Genomic DNA, 25,587 nt, shown 5'->3' with positions numbered 1-25,587 from the left:
ATGCATGACACCATTGGATACTGTGTTTAGAGTAAAATAGGTCTTGGGCTATGGCTTGTAGCTTCAAAGTGCTATTGGTTTTGGAGATTTATTTTTCCATTTTATAACTTAAATGTAATAATCATAGAAATATAAAAAAGAAAGCGTAAAGAAAAAAATTCCCAAACACTCAAGAGATAACCTGTATTGACATTTTGATGTTTATCCTTCTGGAAATACCCCCATGCAAATCTATGTGTCTATATCTATAGGTATGTATATATTTTACAAAATGATGATTTATCAATTTGAGATCTTTTTTTTAAATGTAGCTGTTTTATAGTTACAAATTTCCCTCTGAGCTGATGCTTTTGCTGCATCTCTCAAGTGTTTGGTGTTATGTTTTCATTCATCTGAAGATATTTTCTCATTTTCTGTGATTTTTTTTTCTTTGACACATTGGTTGTTTAAAAGTATGTTGTCTAGTTTCCAAATATGTATGAATTTTCCAGTTTTCCTTCTCTTATTGATTTCTAGCTTCATTCTGCTGTGTTCAGAGAAGATACATTGTATGGTTTCAATCTTTTAAAATATATTAAGGCTTGTTTTGTGGCCTACCATATGGTTTATCCTGGAGAATATTCCATGGAAAGAATGTGTATTTGCTTTTGTTGGGTGGAATGTTCTTCATATGCGTTAGGTCTAATTGGTCAATAGTGTTGTTCAAGTCCTATATTTTCTTACTGGCCTTCTGTCTAGGGTTCTACTCATTATTCAAAGTGAGAAACACAAAAAATCAGCCGGGTGTGGTGGTGTGCACCTGTGGTCCCAGCTACTGGTGGGCTGAGGTGGGAGGATTGCTTGAGACCAGGAGGTTGAGGCTGTCTGAGCCATGATTGTGCCACTGCACTGCAGCCTGGGCCACAGAGTGACACCCTATTTCACACAAAAAAAGTGGGGTATTAAAATCTCCAACTATTATTGTAGAACTGTTTCTTTTTCCCTTCAAATCTGTCAATGTTTGCTTCATATAATTTGAGCTTGTTGTTTTCTACAAATAATTATTTTCTATAAATAAATATTATAAACAAGAAGAAATAAAGTCTTCTTGTTTAATTGACGCTTTTATCAATATATAATGCACTTCTTCGTCCCTCATAACATTTTTTGACTTAAAGTCTATTTTGTCTGATAATAGTATAGCAGCTCCAGCTCTCTTTTGGTTATTATTTGCATGGCATATCTTTTTCCCTAGTTGTATTTTCAACTTATTAATGTCCTTGAAACTAAAAAGAATCTTACACTATATAGTTGGATCACATTTAAAAAAATCTATTTTGCCAATCTTTGTCTTTTTATTGGAAAGTTTAATCCATCTACATTTAAAGTAATTACTGCTATGGAAGGACTTCTGTCATTTTGCTATTTATTTTTACATGTTTTCTGTTCCTCAGTTCTTCCATTACTACCATCCTTTGTGTTTAGTTGATTTTTTTTATAGTGTATCATGTTGATTCCTTTCTCATTCCTTTTCTGTATATATATTTTTAGTTATTGTCTTAGTGGTTACTTAGAGATTACAATTGGCCTCCTAAACTTATAACAACCTATTTTGAATTAAAACCATCCTAGCTTCAATGGTATACAAAACCCTGCTGTTATATAATACATGTCTGTCTCTACTTTTTTGTGTGTTATTGTTGTCACAAATAGCATCTTTATACAGTGTGTACCTATTAACATAGATTTATTATAATTATTTTGTACATCCATCATTTAAATCATACATAAAAAGAGGTTCAAACCAAAAATACAATGCTGGCTATTAAATCACCTATATAGATACCAAAACCAGTATTTTTTTATTTCTTCATATGGCTTCAAGTTACTATATCTTTCATTTCTACTTGAGGATATCCTTTTAGAATTTCTTGTATGGCAGGCCTACTATAGATGAACTTAGGATTTGTTTATCTGGGAATGTCTTAATTTCTTCTTTATTTCTGAAAGGTAGTTTTGCTGAATGTAGAATTTCTGGTTGATGGTATTTTTTTCAACTGTAAATATGTTGTCTTACTGCTTTCTCACTTCCATGAATTCTGCTGAGAAATTGACTGTTCACCTTCAGTATCTTAATATGTGAGGAATCACTTCTTTTTTGCTCCTTTCAATATTTTCTCTTTCAAAATGTCTTTCTCTTTTGAAAGTTTTATTGTCATGTATCAGTGTGGATCTTTTATGTTATTCTTTTGGAGTTTGTTGAGCTTCCTGAATGTGTACAATCATTTCTTTTATCAAATTTGTAACATTTTCAGCCATTACTTCTTTAAATATTTTTTCTTTCCCTTTCTCTCTCTCCTCTTTTTCTGGAGCTCCCACCATGCATAAGTGGTACACTTAAGGGTGTCTTATAGGTCTCTGAGGCTCTATAAATTTTTCTTCATTCTTCTTCCTTTTCTTCAGGCTGAAGAATTTCAATTGACCTATCTTCCCCTAGCTCTTTGAACATTTTTAAGACAGTTGATTTAAAGTTTTGGTCCAATATCTGTGCTTCCTTAGTAGCAGTTTATTTTAATTTCTCCTAGCCATACTTTGTTGTTTCTTTGCATACTTCATAATAAAAAAACAAAAGGTAAAGTCTGGACAGTTTGTATGTTACTTGCATCATTCCGTGGGCATGCATGTGCTTTTCTGGATGTCCAATACATGCAGACACTTTTTTTTTTTTTTTTTTTTTTGAGATGGAGTCTTGCTCTGTCGCCCAGGCTGGAATGCAGTGGCGCGATCTCGGCTCAGTGCAAGCTCCGCCTCCCAGGTTCACGCCATTCTCCTGCTTCAGCCTCCCGAGTAGCTGGGACTACAGGTGCCCGCCACCATGCCCAGCTAATTTTTTGTATTTTTAGTAGAGAGGGGGTTTCACCGTGTTAGTCAGGATGGTTTTGATTTCCTGACCTCGTGATCCGTCCTCCTCGGCCTCCCAAAGTGCTGGGATTACAAGCGTGAGCCACCGCGCCCGGCCAGAAACTTTTTGATACACTAATTATTCAAATAATCTCTCTCCCCAGCTTTTCCTCCCAAACTTTCAGTGTGTCCGTTATTTAACCATGATTTTAGTCTTTTTACCCAGATGCCAGCAGGTTGCCTTTCAATGTTTTTGAGGAATGCCCTCTTTATAGCCACTTTTCCGTCCTGAGAGTTATGTTGATGGATACTTAGGTTATTTCCATATCTTGGCTATTTATTCACAATAATACTGCAATAAACATGATAGCACAGTAGTTTTGATATTTAAGCCTTTCTGAGAATGTGCCCATTTGTATTAGATAATATATATCTATATTAGATATATAGATATTAGAAATATATATTAGATATTTTATCTAATGTATCTAATATATTAGATAATATAGATAATCTATATTGTAATGTCCCTTTTTTCATTACTTATTTTAGTTATTTGAGTCTTTTTTTAATGTGGTCAACCTAGTTAAAAGCTTTTCAATTTTGTTGATATTTTGAAAAAACAACCTTTAAATTATTTTTCTGTCATTTTTATATTCTCATTTTATATTCTCCATTATATTAACATCTCTCTAATCTTTATTATTTCATTCCTTCTGCTTGGTGTGGGTATAGTTTGCTCTTTTTTATAGTTTTTTAAGGTGGAAAATTAGGCTATTGATTTGGGACCTTTGTTGCTTTTAAAATATAGGCCTCTATAGCAATAAATTTTCCTCTAAGCATTGCTTTCCTGTATCCCATAAGTTTTAGTATGTTGTGTTTTCATTTGGATTTATCTCAAAGTATTTTCTAATTTCTTTTGTGATTTCTTCTTTAATCCATTGGTTAATTAAGAATGTGTTGTTTAATTTCCACATATTTCTGATTTTTCTAAATTTTTTCTGTTGATTTATCTTTTAATTTCACTGTGATTGCAGAATATATTTTGTATTTTTTTTTTTTTTTTTTTAATGAGACAGAGTCTCCTGTGGCCCAGGCTGGAGTGCAATGGCATGGTCTCGGCTCACTGCAACCTCTGCCTCCTGGGTCAAGCAATTTTCCTGCCTCAGCCTCCTGAGTAGCTGGAATTACAGGCATGTGCCACCATGCCTGGCTAATTTTTGTATTTTTAGTAGAGATGGGGTTTCGCCATGTTAGCCAGACTGGTCTCGAACTCCTGACCTCAGGTGATCCACCCTCCTCGGCCTCCCAAAGTGCTAGGATTACAGGCATGAGCCACTGTGTCTGGCCTTGTATGATTTTAATCTTTTAAAATTTACTGAGGCTTGTTTTATGGTATAACATATGGTTTATCTTGGATAATGTTCATGTGCACTTAAAAGAATGTATATTCTGCTGCGGTTGGGCGGAATGTTCTCTAGAAGTCTGTTAGGTCTAGTTGATTTATAGTGTTAGTTAAGTCTTCTCTTTCTTGGTTGATCTTCTGCTTAGTTGATTCTATTATTGAAAGTGGAGTATTGACATCTCCAACTATATTCTTGAATTATCCATATCTCACTTCAATTCTGTAAGTTTTTGCTTCACATATTTTTGGGGTTCTGTTGTTAGGGCTATATGTGTTTATAATCATTATATATACCTGATAGATTGACCTTCTTATCATTATAAAATGTACTTTTTCAAGTAACAATTTTTGTCCTAAAATCTATTTTGTCTCATAGTATAGCCACTCCAGCTCTCTTTGATTACTTCATGCATGGCATATTTTAAAAAATCTTTTTACTTTCAACCTATTTGTGTCTTTTGATCTAAAGTTTGTCTCTTGTAGACAGTATATACGTAGTGGTATAGTTGGTTTTTTTGGGGGGAGGGTCCATTCTGACTATCTCTGCCTTTTGATTTATAAGTAGGATATACATGTTTTATTTTATTATTTTATATATGTCATATATTTTTTGTTCCTCAAGTCTTTCTTTTATTGTGTTAAATAGATATTTCCTAGTGTACCTTTTAAATTTGATTGCTGTTTATTTTACTATTTTTGGAGTTATTTTCTTTCTGATTTATCTGGATATTACAGTTAGTTTAATCTTAGCTTAAAATAATCTTGTTTGGATTTATACTAACGTAACTTCAGTATTATACAAAAACTTTGCTCCAGTATACTATGTTCCCGTCACCATTCTTTGTATTATTATTTTCATACAAATTACATCTTTACAGATTATAAACCCATTCACACAGCTATTGTAATTGATTTATGCTGTTATCTTTTAAAACAGGTAGGAGAAGGAAAGAGTTAGATAGAAAAGTGTGTTTATAACATCTTTTATAATACTATATTAGTCCATTTTTCACACTGCTGATAAAGACATACCCGAGACTGGGCAGTTTACAAAATAAAGAGGTTTAATGGACTTAGAGTTGTGACTGGGGAGGTCTCACACTCATGGCAGAAGGCAAGGAAGAGCAAGTCACGTCTTACATGGATGGCAGCAGGCAAAAAGAGAGAGCTTGTGCAGGGAAACTCTTGTTTTTAAAACCATCAGATCTCATGAGACTTATTCATGAGAACAGCACAGAAAAGATCCACCCCTGTGATTCAATTATTTCCCACCGGGTACCTCCTACAACACGTGGGAATTATGGGAGCTACAAGATGAGATTTGAGTGGGGACACAACCAAACCATATCAAATACCTAATGTACTTATCTTTACTGTTGCTCTTTATTCTTTACATGGATTTGAATTACCATCAAGTATGCTTTCATTCTGGCCTGAAGGACTCATTTTAGTATTTTATATGGCAGGATCGTTTGATAGTGATTGTGTCCGTTTTTATTTACCGGGAAATATATAAACTATTTTTTCATTTTTATTTATATATATTTTTTGGTTATATAGTAGGTGTATATATCTATGGGTTAAATGAGATATTTTGATACAAGTATGCAATGTGTAATAATCAGATAAGGGTAAATGGGGTATCTGTCACCTCAAGCATTTATCTTTGTGTCTTAAACAATCCAATTACACTTTTTTAGTTATTGTAAAATGTAGAATTAATTTTTTTTCTATACTAACCCTGTTGTGCTAGCAAATACTAGGTCTTATTCATTCCTTCTGTGCTTTTGTTCTCCTTTACCATCCCCACTTTCCCCCAATTCCCCACTACACTTCCCAGCCTCTGTTAACCATCCTTCTACTCTCTAGCTCCATGAGTTCAATTGTTTTTATTTCTAGCTCCCACAAATAAGCGAGAACATGTGAAATTTGTCTTTCTGTGCCTGGTTTATTTCACTTAACATTATGATCTCCAGTTCCATCCAGGTTGTTGCAAATGACAGGATCCCATTTTTTTTTCTTGAGACAGAGTCTTGCTATGTTGCCCAGGCTGTAGTGCAGTGGAACAATCTCAGCTCACTGTAACCTCCACCTCCTAGGTTCAAGCGATTCTCAGGCCTCAGCCTCCCAAGTAGCTGGGATTACAGGCATGTGCCACCATGCCTAGAAAATTTTTGTATTTTTAGTAGAGATGGGATTTCACCATGTTGGCCAGGCTGGTCTCGAATTCCAGAACTCAAGTGATCTGCCTGCTTTGGCCTCCCAAAGTGTTAGGATTACAGGCATGAACCACTGCATCTGGCCCCATTCGTTTTTTATGGCTAAGTGGTACTCCATTGTATATATATACCACATTTAAAAAATCCATTAATCTGTTGATGGACACTCAGGTTGCTTCCAAATATTGGCTATTGTGAATAGTGCAGCAATAAACATGGGAGTGAAGATATCTCTTTGACATACTGATTTCCTTCCTTTTGGGTAAATACCCAACAGTGGGATTGTGGATCATATGGTAGCTCAATTTTTAGTTTTTTTTTTTTTTTTTGTTGAGGAACCTCCAAACTTTTCTCCATAGTGAAAATAATTTACATTCTCACCAACAGTCTACAAGGGTTCTTTTCTCTTCACATCCTCACCAGCATTCAATGTTGCCTGTCTTTTGGATAAAAACCATTTTAACTGGGGTGAGATGTCACCTCATTGTAGTTTTGATTTGCATTTCTCTGATGATCAATGATGTTGTGCACTTTTTCATATGCCAGTTTGCCATTTGTATGTCTTCTTTTGAGAAATGTGTATTTGGATCTTTTGCCCATTTTTGATTGGATTATCAGATTTTTTCCAATAGAGTTGTTTGCGTGCCTCGTATATTCTGGTTATTAATCCCTTGTCAGATGGGTAGTTTGAAAATATTTTCTCTCATTTTATGGGTTGTCTATTCACTTCATTGTTTCTTTGGCTGTGCAAAAGCTTTTTAACTTGATGTTATCCAATTTGTCCATTTTTGCTTTGGTTTCCTGTGCCTGTGGGATATTACTTAAGAACTCTGCTCAGCCCAATGTACTGGAGAGTTTCCCCAAAGTTTTCTTTTGGTAGTTTCATAGTTTGTAGTCTTAGATTTGTCTTTAATTTTGATTTGATTCTTTTATATGGTGAGAGATAGGAGTCCAGTTTCATTCTCCTGTATATGGCTATCCAATTTTCCCTGCATCATTTATTGAAGAGACTGTCCTTTCCGCAATGTATGTTCTTGGAAACTTTGTCAAAAATGAATTCATTGTAGATGTATAGATTTACTTCTGGGTTTTCTATTCTGTTCCTCTGGTCTATGTGTCTGTTTTTATGCCAGTATCATGCCATCTTGATTATTATAGATCTTTAGTATAATTTGAAGACAGGTAATGTGATTCCTCCACTTTTCTTTTTGCTTAGGATAGCTTTGGCTATTCTGGATCTTTTGTTGTTCCATATAAATTTGAGGATTTTTTTTTTATTTCTGTGAAGAATATAATTGGTATTTTGATAGGGATTGCATTACATCTATAGATTGCTTTGGGTAGTATGGACATTTAAAAAATAATGATTCTTTTAATCCATGAACATGGAATATCTTTCCACTTTTTGGTGTCCTCCTCAATTTCTTTCATCAGTGTCTTATAGCTTTTATTGTAGAGATCTTTCACTTTAATTAATTCCTAGGCACATAATTTTATTTTTAGTTATTGTAAATGGCATTACTTTCTTGATTTCTTTTTCAGATTGCTTGCTGTTGGCACATAGAAATGCTACTGGCTTTTGTATGTTGATTTTGTATTTTGCATCTTTACTAAATTTGTTTATCAGTTCTAATAGTTTTTTTTTGTGGAGTCCCGAGGTTTTTCCAAATACAAGATTATATCTGGATCTGCAGACAAAGATCTGAAGTTTCTTTGTTGATTTTCTGTTTGGAAGATCTGTCCAATGCTGAAAGCGGGGTGTTGAAATCTTCAGCTATTAATGTACTGGGGTTTATTTCCTTCTTTACCTCTAATAACATATGAGTGCTCCCATGTTAGGTGCATATGTATTTATGATTGTTATATACTTTTGCTGAATTGATCCCTTTATCTTTATATAGTGACCTTCTTTGTCTCTTTTTATAGTTTTTGTCTTGAAATCTATTTTGTCTGATATAAATATAGCTACTCCTGCTCTTTGTTTGATTTCCATAGACATGGAATATCCTTTTCCATCCCTTAATTTTCAGTCTATGTGTGCCTTCATAGGTGAAGTGTGTTTCTTATTGGCAACAGATCATTGGGTCATGTTTTTCTTTTTATTCATTCAGCCACTGTATGTCTTTTTTATTGAGGAGTTAAGTCCCTTTACATTCAACATTATTATTGATAAACAAGAACTGATTCCTGCTGTTTTGTTATTTATTTTCTGGTTGTTTTGTAGTCTTCTCTTCCTTCTTTCTTTCCTTTCTGTCTTCTTTTTTTCTTTTTAATTATTATACTTTAAGTACTAGGGTACATGTGCACAATGTGCAGGTTTGTTACATAGGTATACATGTGCCATGTTGGTTCGCTGCACCCATCAACTCGTCATTTACATTAGATATTTCTCCTAATGCTATCCCTACCCCAGCCCCCAAGCCCATGACAGGTGCTGGTGTGTGATGTTCCCTTCCCCGTGTCCAAGTGTTCTCATTGTTCAGTTCCCACCTATGAGTGAGAACATGTGGTGTTTGGTTTTCTGTCCTTGTGATAGTTTGCTTAGAATGATGGTTTCCATCTTCATCCATTTCCCTGCAAAGGACATGAACTCATTCTTCTTTATGGCTGCATAGTATTCCATGGTGTATATGTGCCACATTTTCTTAATCTAGTCTATTATCGGTGGACATTTGGGTTGGTTCCAAGTCTTTGCTATTGTGAATAGTGCTGCAGTAAACATACGTGTGCATGTGTCTTCATAGTAGCATGATTTATAATCCTTTGGGTATATACCCAGTAATGGGATGGCTGGGTCAAATGGTATTTCTAGTTCTAGATCCCTGAGGAATTGCCACACTGTCTTCCACAATGATTGAACTAATTTACACTCCCACCAACAGTATAAAAACGTTCCTATTTCTCCACATCCTCTCCAGCATCTGTTGTTTCCTGACTTTTTAATGATCACCATTCTAACCTGCGTGAGATGATATCTCATTGTGATTTTGATTTGCATTTCTCTGATGACCAGTGATGATGAGCATTTTTTCATGTGTCTGTTGGCTGCATAAATGTCTTCTTTTGCGAAGTGTCTGTTCATATCCTTTGCCCACTTTTTGATGGGGTTGTTTGTTTCTTTCTTGTAAATTTGTTTGAGTTTTTTGTAGATTCTGGATATTAGCCCTTTGTCAGATGGGTAGATTGCAAAAATTTTTTCCCATTCTGTAGGTTGCCTGTTCACACTGATGGTAGTTTCTTTTGCTGTGCAGAAGCTCTTTAGTTTAATTAGATCCCATTTGTCAATTTTGGCTTTTGTTGCCATTGCTTTTGGTGTTTTAGCCATGAAGTCCTTGCCCATGCCTATGTCCTGAACGGTATTGCCTAGGTTTTCTTCTAGGGTTTTTATGGTTTTAGATCTTACATTTAAGTCTTTAATCCGTCTTGAATTAATTTTTCTGTAAGGTGTAAGGAAGGGATCCAGTTTCAGCTTTCTACATATGGCTAGCTAGTTTTCCCAGCACCACTTTTAAATAGGGAATCATTTCCCCATTTCTTGTTTTTGTTAGGTTTGTCAAAGATCAGATGGTTGTAGATGTGTGGTGTTATTTCTGAGGCCTCTGTTCGGTTCTATTGGTATGTGTATCTGTTTTGGTCTGTGTATCTGTGTATGCTGTTGTGGTTACTGTAGCCTTGTAGTATAGTTTGAAGTCAGGTAGCGTGATGCCTCCAGCTTTGTTCTTTTTGCTTTGGATTGTCTTGGCTATGTGGACTCTTTTTTGGTTCCATATGAACTTTAGTTTTTTCCAATTCTGTGAAGAAAGTCATTTTGCTTGATGGGGATGGCATTAAATCTATAAATTACCTTGGGCAGTATGGCCATTTTCATGATGTTGATTCTTCCTATCTGTGAGCATGGAATGTTCTTTCATTTGTTTGTGTCCTCTTTTATTTCATTGAGCAGTGGTTTGTAGTTCTCCTTGAAGAGGTCCTTCACATCCCTTGTAAGTTGGATTCCTAGGTATTTTATTCTCTTTGTAGCAATTGTGAGTGGGAGTTCACTCATGATTTGGCTCTCTGTTTGTCTGTTATTGGTGTATAAGAATGCTTGTGATTTTTGCACATTGATTTTGTATACTGAGCTTTGCTGAAGTTGCTTATGAGCTTAAGGAGATTTTGGGCTGAGACGATGGGGTTTTCTAAATAGACAATCATGTCATCTGCAAACAGGGACCCTTTGACTTCCTCTTTTCCTAATTGAATACCCTTTATTTCTTTCTCCTGCCTGATTGCCTTGGCCAGAACTTCCAACACCATGTTGAAAAGGAGTGGTGAGAGAGGGCATCCTTGTCTTGTGGTGGTTTTCAAAGGGAATGCTTCCAGTTTTTGCCCATTCAGTATGATATTCGCTATGGGTTTGTCATAAATAGCTCTTATTATTTTGAGATGTGTTCCATCAATACCTAGTTTATTGAGAGTTTTTAGCATGAAGGGCTGTTGAGTTTTGTCAAAGGCCTTTTCTGCATCTGTTGAGATAATCATGTGGTTTTGGTTCTGTTTATGTGATGGATTACGTTTATTGATTGGCATATGTTGAATCAGCCTTGCATCCCAGGGGTGAAGCCAACTTGATCATGGTGGATAGACTTTTTGATGTGCTGCTGGATTCGGTTTGCCAGTATTTTATTGAAGATTTTCGCATCGATGTTAATTAGGGATATTGGTCTAAAATTCTCTTTTTGTTGTTGAGTCTCTTCCAGGCTTTTGTAGCAGGATGATGCTGGCCTCATAAAATGAGTTAGGGAGGATCCCCTCTTTTTCTATTGATTGGAATAGTTTCAGAAGGAATGGTACCAGCTCCTCTTTGTACCTCTTTTAGAATTTGGCTGTGAATCCGTCTGGTCCTGGACTTTTTTTGGTTGGTAGGCTATTAATTATTGCCTCAATTTCAGAACCTGTTATTGGTCTATTCAGAGATTCACCTTCTTCCTGGTTTATTCTTGAGAGGGTGCATGTGTCCAGGAATTTATCCATTTCTTCTAGATTTTCTAGTTTATTTGCATAGAGGTGTTTATAGTATTCTCTGAAGGTAGTTTGTATTTCTGTGGGATTGGTGGTAATATCCCCTTTATCATTTTTTATTGCACCCCTATTTGATTCTTCTCTCTTTTCTTCTTTACTAGTCTTGCTAGCGTTCTATCAATTTTGTTGATCTTTTCAAAAAACCAGCTCCTGGATTCATTGATTTTTTGAAGGGTTTTTTTGTGTCTCTATCTCTTTCAGTTCTGCTCTGATCTTAGTAATTTTTTACCTTTTGCTAGCTTTTGAATTTGTTTGCTCTTGCTTCTCTAGTTCTTTTAATTGTGATGTTATGGTGTTGATTTTAGATCTTTACTGCTTTCAGTTGTGGGCATTTAGTGCTATAAATTTCCTTCTACACACTGCTTTAAATGTGTCCCAGAGATTCTGGTATGTTATGTCGTTGTTCTCATTGGTTTCAAAGAACATCTTTATTTCTGCCTTTATTTTGTTATTTACCCAGTAGCCATTCAGGAGAAGGTTGTTCAGTTTCCATGTAGTTGTGTGGTTTTGAGTGAGTTTCTTAGTATTAAGTTTTAATTTGATTGTGCTGTGGTCTGAGAGATAGTTTGTTGTGATTTCCATTTTTTTACATTTGCTGAGGAGTGCTTTACTTCCAAGTATGTGGTCAATTTTAGAGTAAGTGTGATGTGCTGAGAAGAATGTATATTCTATTGATTTGGGGTGGAGAGTTCTGTAGATGTCTATTAGGTCTGCTTGGTGTAGAGCTGAGTTCAAGTCCTGGATATCCTTGTTAACCTGTCTCATTGATCTGTCTACTATTGACAGTGGGATGTTAAAGTCTCCCATTATTATTATGCGGGAGTCTAAGTCTTTTATAGGTCTCTAAGGACTTGCTTTATGAATCTGCGTGCTCCCATATTGGGTGCATATCTATTTAGGATAGTTAGCTCTTACTGTTGAATTGATCCCTTTAATATTACGCAATGGCCTTCTTTGTCCCTTTTCATCTTTGTTGGTTTAAAGTCTGTGTTATCAGAGACTAGGATCGCAACCCCTGCTTTTTTTTTTTTTTTTTTTTTTTTTTTTTGCTTTCTGTTTGCTTGGTAGACCTTCCTCCATCCCTTTATTTTGAGCCTATATGTGTCTCTGCATGTGAGATGGGTCTCCTGAATATAGCACACTGATGGGTCTTGACTCTTTATCCAATTTGCCAGTCTGTGTCTTTTAATTGGAGCATTTAGCCCATTTACATTTAAGGTTAATATTGTTATATGTGAATTTGATCCTGTCATTATGATGTCAGCTGGTTATTTTTTCCATTAATTGATACAGTTTCTTTATAGCATCGATGGTCTTTACAGTTTGGCATGTTTTTGCAGTGGCTGGTACTGGTCATTCCTTTCCATATTTAGTTCTTCCTTCAGGAGCTCTTGTAAGGTAGGCCTGGTGGTGACAAAATCTCTCAGCATTTGCTTGTCTGTAAAGGATTTTATTTCTCCTTCACTTATGAAGCTTAGTTTGGCTGGATATGAAATTCTGGGTTGAAAATTCTTTTCTTCAAGAGTGTTGAATATTGGCCCTCACTCTCTTCTGGCTTGTAGGGTTTTGGCCAAGAGATCTGCTGTTAGTCTGATGGGCTTCCCTTTGTAGGTAACCTGATCTTCCTCTCTGGCTGCCCTTAACCTTTTTCCCTTCATTTCAACCTTGGTGAATCTGACAATTATGTGTCTTGGGGTTAGTCTTCTTGAGGAGTATCTTTGTGGTGTTCTCTGTATTTCCTGAATTTGAATGTTGGCCTGCCTTGCTAGGTTGGGGAAGTTCTCCTAGATAATATCCTGAAGAGTGTTTTCTGACTTGGTTCCATTCTCCCCATCACTTTCAGGTCCACCAGTCAAACGTAGATTTGGTCTTTTCACATAGTCCCATATTTCTTGGAGGCTTTGTTCCCTTCTTTTTACTCTGTTTTCTCTAATCTTGTCTTCTCGCTATTTCATTAATTTGATCTTCAATCACTGATATCCTTTCTTCCACTTGAATGAATCTGCTGTGAAGCTTGTGTACGCATCATGAAGTTCTTGTGCCATGGTTTTCAGCTCTATCAGGTCATTTAAGGTCTTCTCTCCACTGTTTATTCTAGTACCCATTCATCTAACCTTTTTTTCAAGGTTTTTAGCTTCCTTGGGATGGGTTAGAACATCCTCCTTTAGCTCAGATAAATTTGTTATTTACTGATCTTCTGAACCCTACTTCTGTCAACTTGTCAAAGTCATTCTCTGTCCAGCTTTGTTCTGTTGCTGGCAAGGAGCTGCGATCCTTTGGAGGGGAAGAGGCGCTCTTGTGTTCAGAATTTTCAGGTTTTCTGCTCTGATTTCTCTCCATCTTTGTGGTTTTATCTACCTTTGGTCTTTGATGTTGGTGACCTACTGATGAGGTTTTGGTGAGGATTTTTTTGTTGTTGATGTTGATTCTATTCCTTTCTCTTTGTTTTCCTTTTAACAGTCAGATCCCTCAGCTGCAGGTCTGTTGGAGTTTGCTGGGGGTCCACTCCAGGCCGTTCGCCTGGATATTACCAGTGTAGGCTGCAGAACAGCAAATATTGCAGAACAGCAAATATTGCTTCCTGATCCTTCCTCTGGAAGCTTCGTCCCAGAGGGGCACCTGCCTGTATGAGGTGTCTTTTGGCCCCTACTGGGAGGTGTCTCTGAGTTAGGCTACATGTGGGTCAGGGACCCACTTCAGGAGGCAGTCTGTCTGGAGAATCACTGCTCTCTTCAGAGCTGTCAGACAGGGACGTTTAAGTCTGCAGAAGTTGTCTGCTGCCTTTTGTTCAGTTATGCCCTGCCCACAGAGGTGGTGTCTACAGAGGCAGTAGGTCTTGCTGAGCTGTGGTGGGTTCTGCCCAGTTCGAGCTTCCTGACCACTTTGTTTACCTACTCAAGCCTCAGTAATGTGGATGCCCCTCCCCCCGCCAGGCTGCAGCCTTGCAATTCCATCTCAGACTGCTGCGCTAGCAGTGAGCAAGGCTCTGTGGGCATGAGACCTGCCGAGCCAGGCACAGGAGAGAATCTCCTGGTCTGCTCGTTGCTAAGACCATGGGAAAAGTGCAGTATTTGGGCAAGAGTGTACCGATTTTCCAGGTACAGTCTATCATGGATTCCCTTGGCTAGGAAAGGGAAATCTCCCAACCCTTTGCACTTTCTGGGTGAGGCAATGCCCTGCCCTGCTTTGGCTCACCCTCTGTGGGCTGCACCCATTCTCCAACCAGTCCCAGTGAGACGAACCAGGTATCTCAGTTGGAAATGCAGAAATCACCTATCTTCTGCATCAATCATTCTGGGAGCTGCAGACTGGAGCTGTTCCTATTCGGCCATCTTGGAACAGAAACCAGACCTTTCTGTCTTCTTTTTAGTGAAGGTGATTTTCTCTGGTGGTATGATTTAATTTCTTGCTTTAATTTTTTTAATTAAAAAAAATTTTTTTTAAGACAGAGTCTTGGTCTGTTGCCCATACTGGAGTGCAGTGGTGTGATCATGGCTTACTGCAGCGTCGACCTCCTGGACTCAAGCAATCCTCTCACCTCAGCTCCCTGAGTAGCTGGGCCTACAGGCATTTGCCACCACACCTGGCTAATTTTTAAATTCTTTTCAGAGACAGTGTCTCACTATATTTTCCAAGCTGGTCTGGAACTCCTGGGCTCAAATGATCCACCTATCTTGGCCTCCCAAATCATTGAGATTACAGGTATGAGCCATTGTACATGGTTGCTTTTTATTTTTTGTGTATCCATTGTATGTTTTTTGATTTGAGGTTACCATGAGGCTTGCAAATACTATCTTATAATCAGTTATTTTAAGTTTATAGCAACTTAACACTGTTTGAATAAGAAAACAAACAAAAACTAATAAAATCTCTACACCTTAACTTCATCCCCCTGCTTTTTAACTTTTTGTTGTTTCTATTTATATCTTATAGTACTATTTTTTGAAAAATTATTATTTTCAAATGGCTCATATTTTAGTAATGATTTTTGATTTGTTCATCTTTTAGTCTTTCTACATAAGAGTAGTTTACATACCCCAGTTATAGTGTTATAATATTCTGTGTATTTTTCCGTGTACTTACTATCACCAGTGAATTTTATACCTTTAGATGATTTATTTTTCTTTATTTCTTCTAAAAAAGAAACGGGATACATGTATACATGTATGCAGAACGGGCTGGTTTGGTACATAGGTATACGTGTGCCATGGTGGTTTGCTGCACCTATTGACTCATCCTCTAAGTTCTCTCCCCTCACCCCCACCCCACAACAGGCCCTGGTGTTGTTGTTCCCCTCTCTGTGTCCATGTTTTCTCAATGTTCACCTCCCACTTACGAGTGAGAATATGCGGTGTTTGGTTTTCTGTTCCTGCGCTACTTTGCTGAGGATGAGGGCTTTCAGTTTCATCCATGTCCCTGCAAAGGACACGATCTCATTTTTTATGGCTTCATAGTATTCCATAGTGTATATGTCCACATTTTCTTTATCCAGCCTGTCATTGATGGGAATTTGGGTTGGTTCCATGTCCTGGCTATTGTAAATAGTGGTGCAATAAAAATACATGTGCATATGTCTTTATAGTAGAATGATTTATATTCCTTTGGGAATACACCCAGTAATGGGATTGCTGGGTCAAATGGTATTTCTGGTTCTAGATTCTTGAGGAATTGCCATACTCTCTTCCACAATGGTTGAACTAATTTACACTCCTATATATTCAGAATAGTTAGCTTTTCTTGTTGAATTGTTCCCTTTACCATTATGTAATACCCTTCTTTGTCTTTTTTGATCTTTTTTGGTTTAAAATCTGTTTTGTCAGAGACTAGGATTGCAACCCTGCTTTTTTTTTCTTTTTATTTGTTTGGCAAATTTCCCTGCATCCCTTTATTTTGAGCCTGTGTGTGTCTTTGCACATAAGATGCTTCTCCTGAATACAGCACGCCAATGGGTCTTGACTCCTTTTTTGCCAGTCTGTGTCTTTTAATTAGGGCATTTAGCCCAGTTACATTTTCTTTTCCTTCCTTTCTCTCTCTCTCTTTCTCTGTTTCTCTCTCTCTTTCTTTCTTTTCTTTCTTTCTTTCTCACTCTCACCCAGGCTGGAGTGCAGTGTCATGCTCTCAGCTCACTGCAACCTCCACCTCCCAGATTCAAACAATTCTCCTGCCTCAGCCTCCCTAGTAGCTGGACTATAGGCACCTGCCACCACACCCAGCTGATTTTTGTATTTTTAATAGATATAGATTTTCACCATGTTGGCCAGGTTGGTCTCAAACTCCTGACTGCAGGTAATTCACCTGCCTTGGCCTCCCAAAGTGCTGGGATTACAGGTGTGAGTCACTGTGCCCAGTCCCAGTTACATTTGAGGTTAGTATTGTTACGTTTGGAGTTTGATCATGTCATCATGATGCTCTTTGGTTGTTTTGCACACTAGTTGATGCAGTTTCTTCATGTGTCATTAGTTTTTATATTTTGGTGTGTTTTTGCAGTGGCTGGTACCGGCTTTTCCTTTCCATAGTTAATGTTTCTTTCAGGAGCTCTTGCAGGGCAGGCCTGCTGGTAATGAAATCCCTTAGCATTTGCTTGTCTAGAAAGGATTTTATTTATCCTTTGCTTATGAAGCTTCATTTGGCTGGATATGAAATTCTGGGTTGAAAACTGTTTTCTTTAAGAATGTCAAATATTGGCTCCCAATCTCTTCTGGCTTGTAGAGTTTCTGCTGAGAGGTCTGCTGTTAGTCTGATGGGCTTCCCTTTGTAGGTGACCTGGCCTTTCTCTCTGGCTGCCCTTAACAGTTTTTCCTTCATTTCGACTTTGGAGAATCTGATGATTGTGTGTCTTGGGGTTGATCTTCTCGTGGACTATCTTAATGGTGTTCTCTGTATTTCCTGAATTTGCATGTTGGCAAAGTTGGGGAAGTTCTCCTGGATCTTCCCAGGAGATCATATCCTGGGAAATCTTCCTGGATCATATGCTGAAGTGTGTTTTCCATCTTGTTTCCATTCTCCCTGTCTCCTGGTACTCCAATCAATCGTAGATTTGGTCATTTTATGAAGTACCATATTTCTTGGAGGCTTTTTTCATTCCTTTTCATTTTTTTTTTTAATTCTTGTCTGCATGTCTTATTTCAGTAAGGTGGTCTTCACACTGATATCCTTTCTTCCGCTTGGTTGATTCAGCTGTTGATACTTGTGTATTCTTCATGAAATTCTTGTGCTGTGTTTTGCAGCTCCATCAGGTCATTTATGTTCCTCTCTAAACTGGCTATTCTAGTTAGCAATTCCTCTAACTTTTTATCAAGGTTCTTAGCTTCTTTGCATTGGGTTAGAACATGCTTCTTTAACTCATCATAGTTTTTTAGTACCCATCTTCCAAAGCCTACTTCTGTCAATTCTTTCATCTGATCCTCCATCCAGTTCTGTGCCCTTGATGGAGAGACATTGCAATCATTTGGAGGAGAAGAGGCACTCTGACCTTTTGGGTTTTCAGCATTTTTTCATTGATTCTTATCTTTGTGAGTTTGTCTAGTTTTGGACTTTGAGGCTGCTGACCCTTGGATGGGGTTTTTGTAGATGCCTTTTTGTTGTTGTTGTTGTTGATGCTGTTGTTGTCACTTTCTGCTTGTTTTTCTTTCAATAGTCAGGTCCCTCTTCTTTAGGGCTGCTGCAGTTTGCTGGGGATTTGCTTCAGGCCTTATCTGATTTGCTCCCGTGCCTGGAGATGTCATTCAAGGAGTCTGGAGAGCAGCCAAGATTGGTGCCTCCTCCTTCTTCTGGGACCTCTGACCTCAAGGGGCACCACCCTGATGCCAGTAGGATCGTTCCTATATAGAGTATCTGACAACCCCTGTTGGAGTGCCTCACCCAGTTGGGTGGTACAGGGAGCAGGACTCGTTTAATGAAGCACTTTGTCCCTTGGTGGAGAGGGTGTGTTTTGTGGGGGGAAACCCACTTGTCTGGGCTGCCTGGATTCCTCAGAACCACCAGGAGGATCAGCTAAGTTTGCTGGTCTGCAGAGACTGCAGCCATCCCTCCCCTTAGGGGCTCAGGCCCAGGGAGATCTGAATTCTGTCCCTGAGCCTCTGGCTGGAGTTACTGGAGATCCTGCAGGGAAGCCCCGCCCACTGAGGAAGGATGGGTCAGGGTTAGACCTGAAGAGGCACTCTGGCTGCTGACTGCCATAGCCAATGTGTTAGGCTGTGGGGACAAGTATTGGGACCAAGCCGTCCAGCCTCCCTGGCTCCAGCAGCGGAAAAGCGCAGCCTGGAGCTATAGAAATGGGTGTCACTCTTCTCCCACGCAGGGAGCATGTTAGGCAGTTGTGAGTCCCAGTGCTGGCTGCTGCCCCTCCCTCGAGGAGCTCAAACAGCTTAGAGAGCAGGCAGCAGCAGCCGGTGCTGGTCGCCCCTCCCCACAGGAGTTTGGTAGGCTTAAGCAGATTCCAGCTGAAAAGCTGTAAGAATCCACGCATTCCAGGACTGGGATGCTAGGCCCCGGTGGCATGGGTTCGCGAGCGGGGTCTTCTGATCTGTGGGTTGCACGGTTTCCCCAGCTGGGTAGCATGCTCACTCACCGCCTCCCTTGGCTGGGGAGAGGTGGTTCCCCTTCCCCACGTGGCTCTCAGGTAGGCTGCAGCACCACACTGCTCTCCCTTCTCTCCGTGGGTCATGCCAGCCTTCTACTCAATTTTGATGAGAGAACCTGGATACCTTGGTTGCCGGTGAAGGATTCACAGGCGTATTATGATTTTTTTTGATGGGAGCTGTAAAGTCCTCTGAGCTGGCCGCACCATGGTCAGGCCATCGTGACATTCCCCCGCCCTTGTGATAATGTACTTTGTGATATTCCCCATCCCTGTGAATGTACTTTGTAAGATTCCTCCCTGCCCTTGTGACAATACACCGTCCCGCCCTTGTGAATGTACTTTTTAACATTCCTCCCCGCCCTTGTGAATATACTTTGTAACGTCCATCCCCTGCCCTTAAAAAATTGCTCCTGACTCCACTGCCTATCTGAAACCTGTAGGAACCAATGATAATCCCACCACCCTTTGCAGACCCCTTTCTCGGACTCAGCCCACTTGCACCCAAGTGAATAAACAGCCTTGTTTCTCACACTAAGTCTGCTCAGTTCGTCTCTTATACGAACGCGCATAACAGGAGCCTCCAAACGCAGCTGCTTCTAGTTGGCCATCTTGGCACTGCCGGCCCTTTCAGATGATTTCTTATTGCTCATTAACATTCTTTTATTTCTGACTGAAGTACTCCCATTAGAATTTCTTATAGAACCAGGTCTGGTATTGATGAAGTCCTTCAGCTTTTGTTTGTCGGGGAAAGTCTTTATTTTTCCTTCATGTTTGAAAGACATTTTTGCCAGATATACTATTCTAGGGTAAAAGTTTTTTTCCTTTGGCATTTTAAATTTGTGTCACTTTCTCCAGACCTGTAAGGTTTCCACTGAAAAGTCTGCTGCCAGATGTATTGGAGCTCCATTGTATTTATTTGTTTCTTTTCTCTTGCTGCTTTTAGGATCCTTTATACTTGACCTTTGGGAGTTTGATTACTATTTATTACCTCCTTGAGGTAGTCTTCTTTGCTTGGTGTTTTATAATCTTCTTGTACTCTGATATTGATATCTTTCTCTAGGTTTAGGAACTTTTCTGTTATTATCCCTTTGAGTGAACTTTCTATGCCTATGTCTTTCTCTAGCTCCTCTTTAACGCCAATAACTCTTAGATTTACCCTTTTGAAACTATTTTCTAGATCCTGTAGGTGTGCTTCGTTATTTTTTATTCTTTTTTCTTTTGTCTCTTCTGACTGTATATTTTCAAATAGTCTGTCTTCAAGCTTACTAATTCATTCTTCTGCTTGATTTATTCTGCCATTAAAAGACTCTGATGACCATGTTGGCCAGGCTGGTCTCGAACTCTAAGGTCAGGAGTTTGAGACCAGCCTGACCAACATGGTGAAACCCCGTCTCTACTAAAAATATGAAAATGAGCCAGGCATGGTGGCAGGCACCTGTAATCCTAGCTGCTTGGGAGGCTGAGGCATGAAAATCGCTTGAACCCGGGAGGTGGAGGTTGCAGTGAGCCGAGATCACGTCATTGCACTCCAGACTGGGTGACAAGAAACTATCTCAAAAAAAAAAAAAAAAAAAAAAAGGCTCTGATGTGTTTCTTAACATTTCAGTTTCATTTTTCAGCTCCAGAATGTGTGCTTATTTTAATTATTTCAATCTCTTTGTTAAATTTATGTGATAGAATTCTGAATTCCTTCTCTATCTCTGTGATAGAATTCTGAATTCCTTCAAAGAAATCTTGAATTTCTTTGAATTTCCTCAACACAGTTATTTTGAATTCTCTGTCTGAATAGTTACATATCTCTGTTTCTCCAGGATTGGTCCCTGGTGCCTTATTTAGCTTGTTTGTTGAGGTCATGTTTTCCCAGATGGTGTTGATGCTTGTAGATGTTCTTTGGCGTCTGGGCAGAAGGCTTAGGTATTTATTGTAGTCTTCACAGTCTGGGCTTATTTGTACCCATCCTTTTCAGAAAGGTTTTCCCTGTAATCAAAAGGATTTGGGTACTATGACCTAAGCCATATCTACATTAGGGGGCACCTTGAGCTCAGTAACATTGTGGTTCTTGTAGAGTCATCGAGGTGCTACCTTGGCAGTCTTGGATAACGTCCAGATGGATTCTCTGGATTACCAGGTAGGGACTCTTGTTCTCTTCTCTTTCTCTGAAATAAACAGTCTCTCTCTCTCTCTCTGTGCTGAGCTTCCTGGAGCTGGGAGTGGGATGACAGAAGCAGCCCTGTGGCCATCACCACTGGGACTGCTGCAGTGCATCATACTTGAAGCCAATACAGCACTGGATCTTGCCCAAGGCTTGCTGTAATCACTCCCTTGCTACTGCTTATGTTCGCTCAAGGCCCTAGGGCTGTACAATCAGCAGGTGGCAAGCGGCAAAGCTAGTCAAGCTTGAGTTCTTGTTTTCAGGTCAGTGAGTTACCTCAGGTGCCAGGTGGGTCCAGAGATGTTGTCCAGGAACCAGGGACTGGAGTAAAAAACCTTAGACATCTACTTGGTGTTCTCTTGTACTGCTGTTGAGCTGGCACTCAAACAACAAGACATAGTCCTTCCCATTCTTCCCTCCTCTTTACACAGGCAAAGGAACCTGACCCTGTGGCCGCTACCACCACAGGCCCACGGAAAGTACTGCCAGGCATCCACCAGTGTTCACGTAAGGTGCATGGGCTCCTCAGGAAGCTTGTGGTGAATGGTGCCAGGCTGGGACTCACTTTTCAGAGTAGTGGGCTTCCCTCTGGCCCAGCATGGGTTTAGAAATGCCATCCAAGAACCAAGGCCTGGAATCAGGATTCTTAAGAGCCCAACTGGTACTCTACCCCATTGTGGCTGAGCTAGTACCTAAGATGCAAGCCAAAGTCCCCTTTACTTTTCCCTCTGCTTTTCTCAAGGAGATGGAGCCTCTCACCATAGCCACCACAGCTGGGAATATGCTGTGTCTCGCCTGAAGCCAGCATGGTTGAGAGTCTCCCCAAGACTCACAGAGTACTACCTGGGTATCACTGCTGGTTATTCAGTTCCCAAGGGCTTCTTAGTCAGCAGGTGATGGGACCTTCAAGGCAGTGGGTTCACTTCTGGCCTAGGGTATGTCTAGAAATGTCTGAGAGCTAGGGCCTCATGACTGCCCAGTGCCCCATCCTCGTGTCTGAGCTGGTACCCAAAATGCAAGACAAAATTCTCTCTTCTCCCAGGAGGAAGGATGGAGTTTCTTTTGGAACTGTGAGCTGTACAGCCTGCAGTTGGGTGAGGGGCGGTATATGCATTCCCTTAGCTGCCCTGGCTGATAGTAAGGTCATGTGCTCCCCTAGTCCACTGGCTCTGAGCCCAGCTTAGTGCTAGGACTCACCTAGGAGTTGCAGTCCTTGTGGCCTAGACTTCGTTTCAAGTTTATTTAGGGCCCCAGTGCATTTCAACCCACAGTGGCAAGACTTTCTAGAACTTAAGTTTTTTTGGGATGGGCAATTTCCCTCTGGCTAGGGCCAGTCCAAATGCTTTCTTTGTGGGCAGGTATCAGCTATATACAGTTCGGTTCTGTTTTCTTCTGTGAGAGGGCAGCACTGAGTTCAATGCAAAGTCCCCAAATTGCTGTGTTCTCTCTACCCAAGTGCACAGATTTTCCATGCCATGTAGCTGCTGCCAGGAGTTTGGGAAGGGGTAACATCAGCAATTCAAGACACTTTCCTGCCCTTTTCAGTGCCTCTTTCAGAAATATGAAATTAAAATCAGGTACTATGTGGTGCTTACTTGATTTTTAGTTTTTATGAATGTACTTTTTTGTGTAGATACTTGTTAAATTTGATGTTCCTACATGAGGGACAATTAGTGCAACCTTCTACTCCACCATCTTGCTTCACCTCGCTTCTTCATTTTTAAATGAGAGATTCTTTGGACAGAATTCTTAGTTGACTGTCATTTTCTTTTAACACTTTGAAGATCTTATCCCTCTGTCTTCTGGCCCCCATGGTTTCTTATAAGAAGTCAGCTATTAATCTTGTTGAGGATTCCTTGTACATGGTAGGTTGTTTTTCTCTTGCCACCTTCAGGATTCTCTCTTAGTGTTTGACTTTTTTCCATTTGACTTGAGTATGTCTTGGTGGAAATCTCTGAGTTTATTCTACTCGGAGTTCATTGAGCTTTTTGGATTTACAGACTCATTTATGTTTATCAACTCAGAGTTTTTAGTCACAAATTTTCTTTCAGTCCCATTCTCTTTTTCCTCTTTTTCTTGGGCCTCTGTTTTGCATATGCGGTATACTTGGTAGTTTCTTGTATATCTCTGAGGCTCTGCTCCCCTTCTTTTCATTCTCTTTTCTTTCTTCTCCTCAGACTGAATGATTTCAGTTGACCTACCTATCTTTAAATTTGATAATTCTTCTGCCTGCTCTAATCAGCTATTAAAACACTATAATAAATTTTTCATTTTAGTTATTGTACTTCTCAGCTGCAGAATTTTCATTTGGTTCCTGTTAATAATTTTTATCTCATTATTCCTATCCTTTATTTGTTGAGACAGTCTCCTGGCTTCCTTTAGCTCTTTACTCATGGTTCCTTTACCTCTTTGGACACATTAATAGTAGCTAATTTAACATCTTTTTCTGCTAAATCCAAAATGGTCCCCTCATGGATATTTTCTATTAGTTGCTTTTTTCAATGTACATGTGATATTTTCCTGTTTTTTTCATAAGTGTCATAATTTTTCATTGAAAGCTGGACATTTTAGAAAATATATTTTAACAACTCTGATATCAGATTCTTCTATCCCCTAAGGTTTGTCATTATTGCCATTTTGGCTGTGGTTTTTCTTGTTGTTTATTTGTGTCTGTTTGATTTTTCTGTATTAATTCTATAGGTCATGATAATACAGGAGTTATTAAGATACTAGTTTTAGGCAGTTAGAAAGGGTAAAAGAGTTCTCAGTAGAATTTTCCTTTATTAAAAAGCAACCCCAAACCATTTCTTCTCTAACAGAAAGCAGCCTGAAGAGTAAGTCATAGTTACGTAAACTAGGATCTTTTATATGTAAATTCCATCAGCTGTACCTGGAAGCCAGGTACATTCAATATGGTGTCTCCTGCCCTCTTTTCCTTGTCACCATTTGTGCTGGTGTCATGGCAACCTTCAGGTAAAACCTGTACAGGTATCATGGTGACCCACCAGGTAGAAGCCACATTTGTATAACAAAAGGTTAGGGTGGGAGGCCAATCTTTTCACGGGCTATGTAAATGGCACACCTGGTCAAACTGATCCCCTGATCCCTATGTAGATCAATCACCACCTTCTTAAGCCTCTGTACACAATTGATTGCATTCCACTGCAAACCAGAGACCTTTTCTTGGGAGACTTGCTTTCTCAGCATGAGGAAACCTTTTTTCTCTCTCTTCTTTTTTGCCTATTAAACCTTCCACTCCTAAATCCACTCCTCATGTGTGTCCATGTTCTGAATTCTTTCTCAGCCAAGACGAAGAACCAGGGTATATACCCCAGACAAAGAAGCCATTTCACTGATTCCTTGCTGTGTTGTAGTGTATGGCCACAGTTCTTTGCTGCTTTTATTTTTTTAAGTTATTGCTTTTGTTTTTAAGCCCTGGCTTTCTAGGGATCACTCTTGGATTAGTATAATTTAGTGGCTAACTGATAGTTGGTTAGATTTTCTTAAATGTTTTGACAGTAGTGTTTCATGCTTTGCCAAAGGGTTCTGTGTGAGATATCATGCCTCCAGCCGTCAGGCACTTTAAGACTGCTTTATTCCCTGCTTGGACAGGACCTCAAGGTCAGTCAGAGACGAATGACTGATGCCATCTTTGCCAGGTCTTTCCTTGGCATGTGCACAGTCTTTTAGATTTTAGGAATATGTTTGAGCTTTTTAAAATTCCCTAAGCAAATTCTTGAGAACTAGATTAAGCAGCAAAACATTCAAGAGATGACTTGGGTGCTGTCAAAGTCATTCAAGAATTTTCTTTTAAATTCTAAGCCAGGCTCTTCTTTGCCCCAACTAACATGATAGCCTTAGGCAGTTGTAATGTTGCCAGCAGTTTGCTATTGTTTTGATAATTGCCTGAGGATAACCCCCCTCCCCCACCTGCTAAGCTGAGTTCTGAGGAGAACCAGAGTGAGGTAGTCACCGTACTCTGAGAATTGAAATTTTTCTGGGAGATGCATGTTCAGACAAAACATTGACTGTGTTCTGGGGATGGTTCTTGTAATGGAATTCCAAAAGCAGTCAAAGATGCTGGCTTTTGGCTTCTGCCAGTGAGCTGGAGAGGGAGGAGTCATGGGAATAGACCCAAGTTTAAAATATCACAGACAACCCTGATATCGTTTGGTTGTGTCCCCACCCAAATCTCATCTTGAATTCCCATGTGTTGTGGGAGGGACCTGGTAGGAGGTAATTGAATCATGGGGACAGGTCTTTCCTGTGCTGTTCTTGTGATAGTGAA

The 25,587-nt window shown here is 39.2% G+C and overlaps 1 protein-coding gene across 3 annotated transcripts in view, besides 1 other annotated feature; it reads left to right on the top strand.

Annotated features, from left to right (window-relative positions):
- The window catches only part of IGSF11 (immunoglobulin superfamily member 11), a 245,464-nt gene that overhangs the window by 1,029 nt on the left and 218,848 nt on the right, over positions 1 to 25,587 (top strand). The gene's annotated exons all lie outside the window — the stretch shown is intronic.
- Positions 24,094 to 24,631: an enhancer, noted in NCBI's record as "OCT4-NANOG hESC enhancer chr3:118839208-118839745 (GRCh37/hg19 assembly coordinates)". NCBI's record gives its function as "activates a minimal SCP1, AML or CMV promoter by ChIP-STARR-seq in naive H9 embryonic stem cells {active_cell/tissue: H9 hESC(naive)}" and the evidence as "EXISTENCE:reporter gene assay evidence [ECO:0000049][PMID:30033119]".

This window comes from Homo sapiens, chromosome 3 (assembly GCF_000001405.40).
Source record: "Homo sapiens chromosome 3, GRCh38.p14 Primary Assembly".
Lineage (NCBI taxonomy): Eukaryota > Metazoa > Chordata > Mammalia > Primates > Hominidae > Homo > Homo sapiens.
This window is presented reverse-complemented; position numbering and strand designations above follow the sequence as displayed.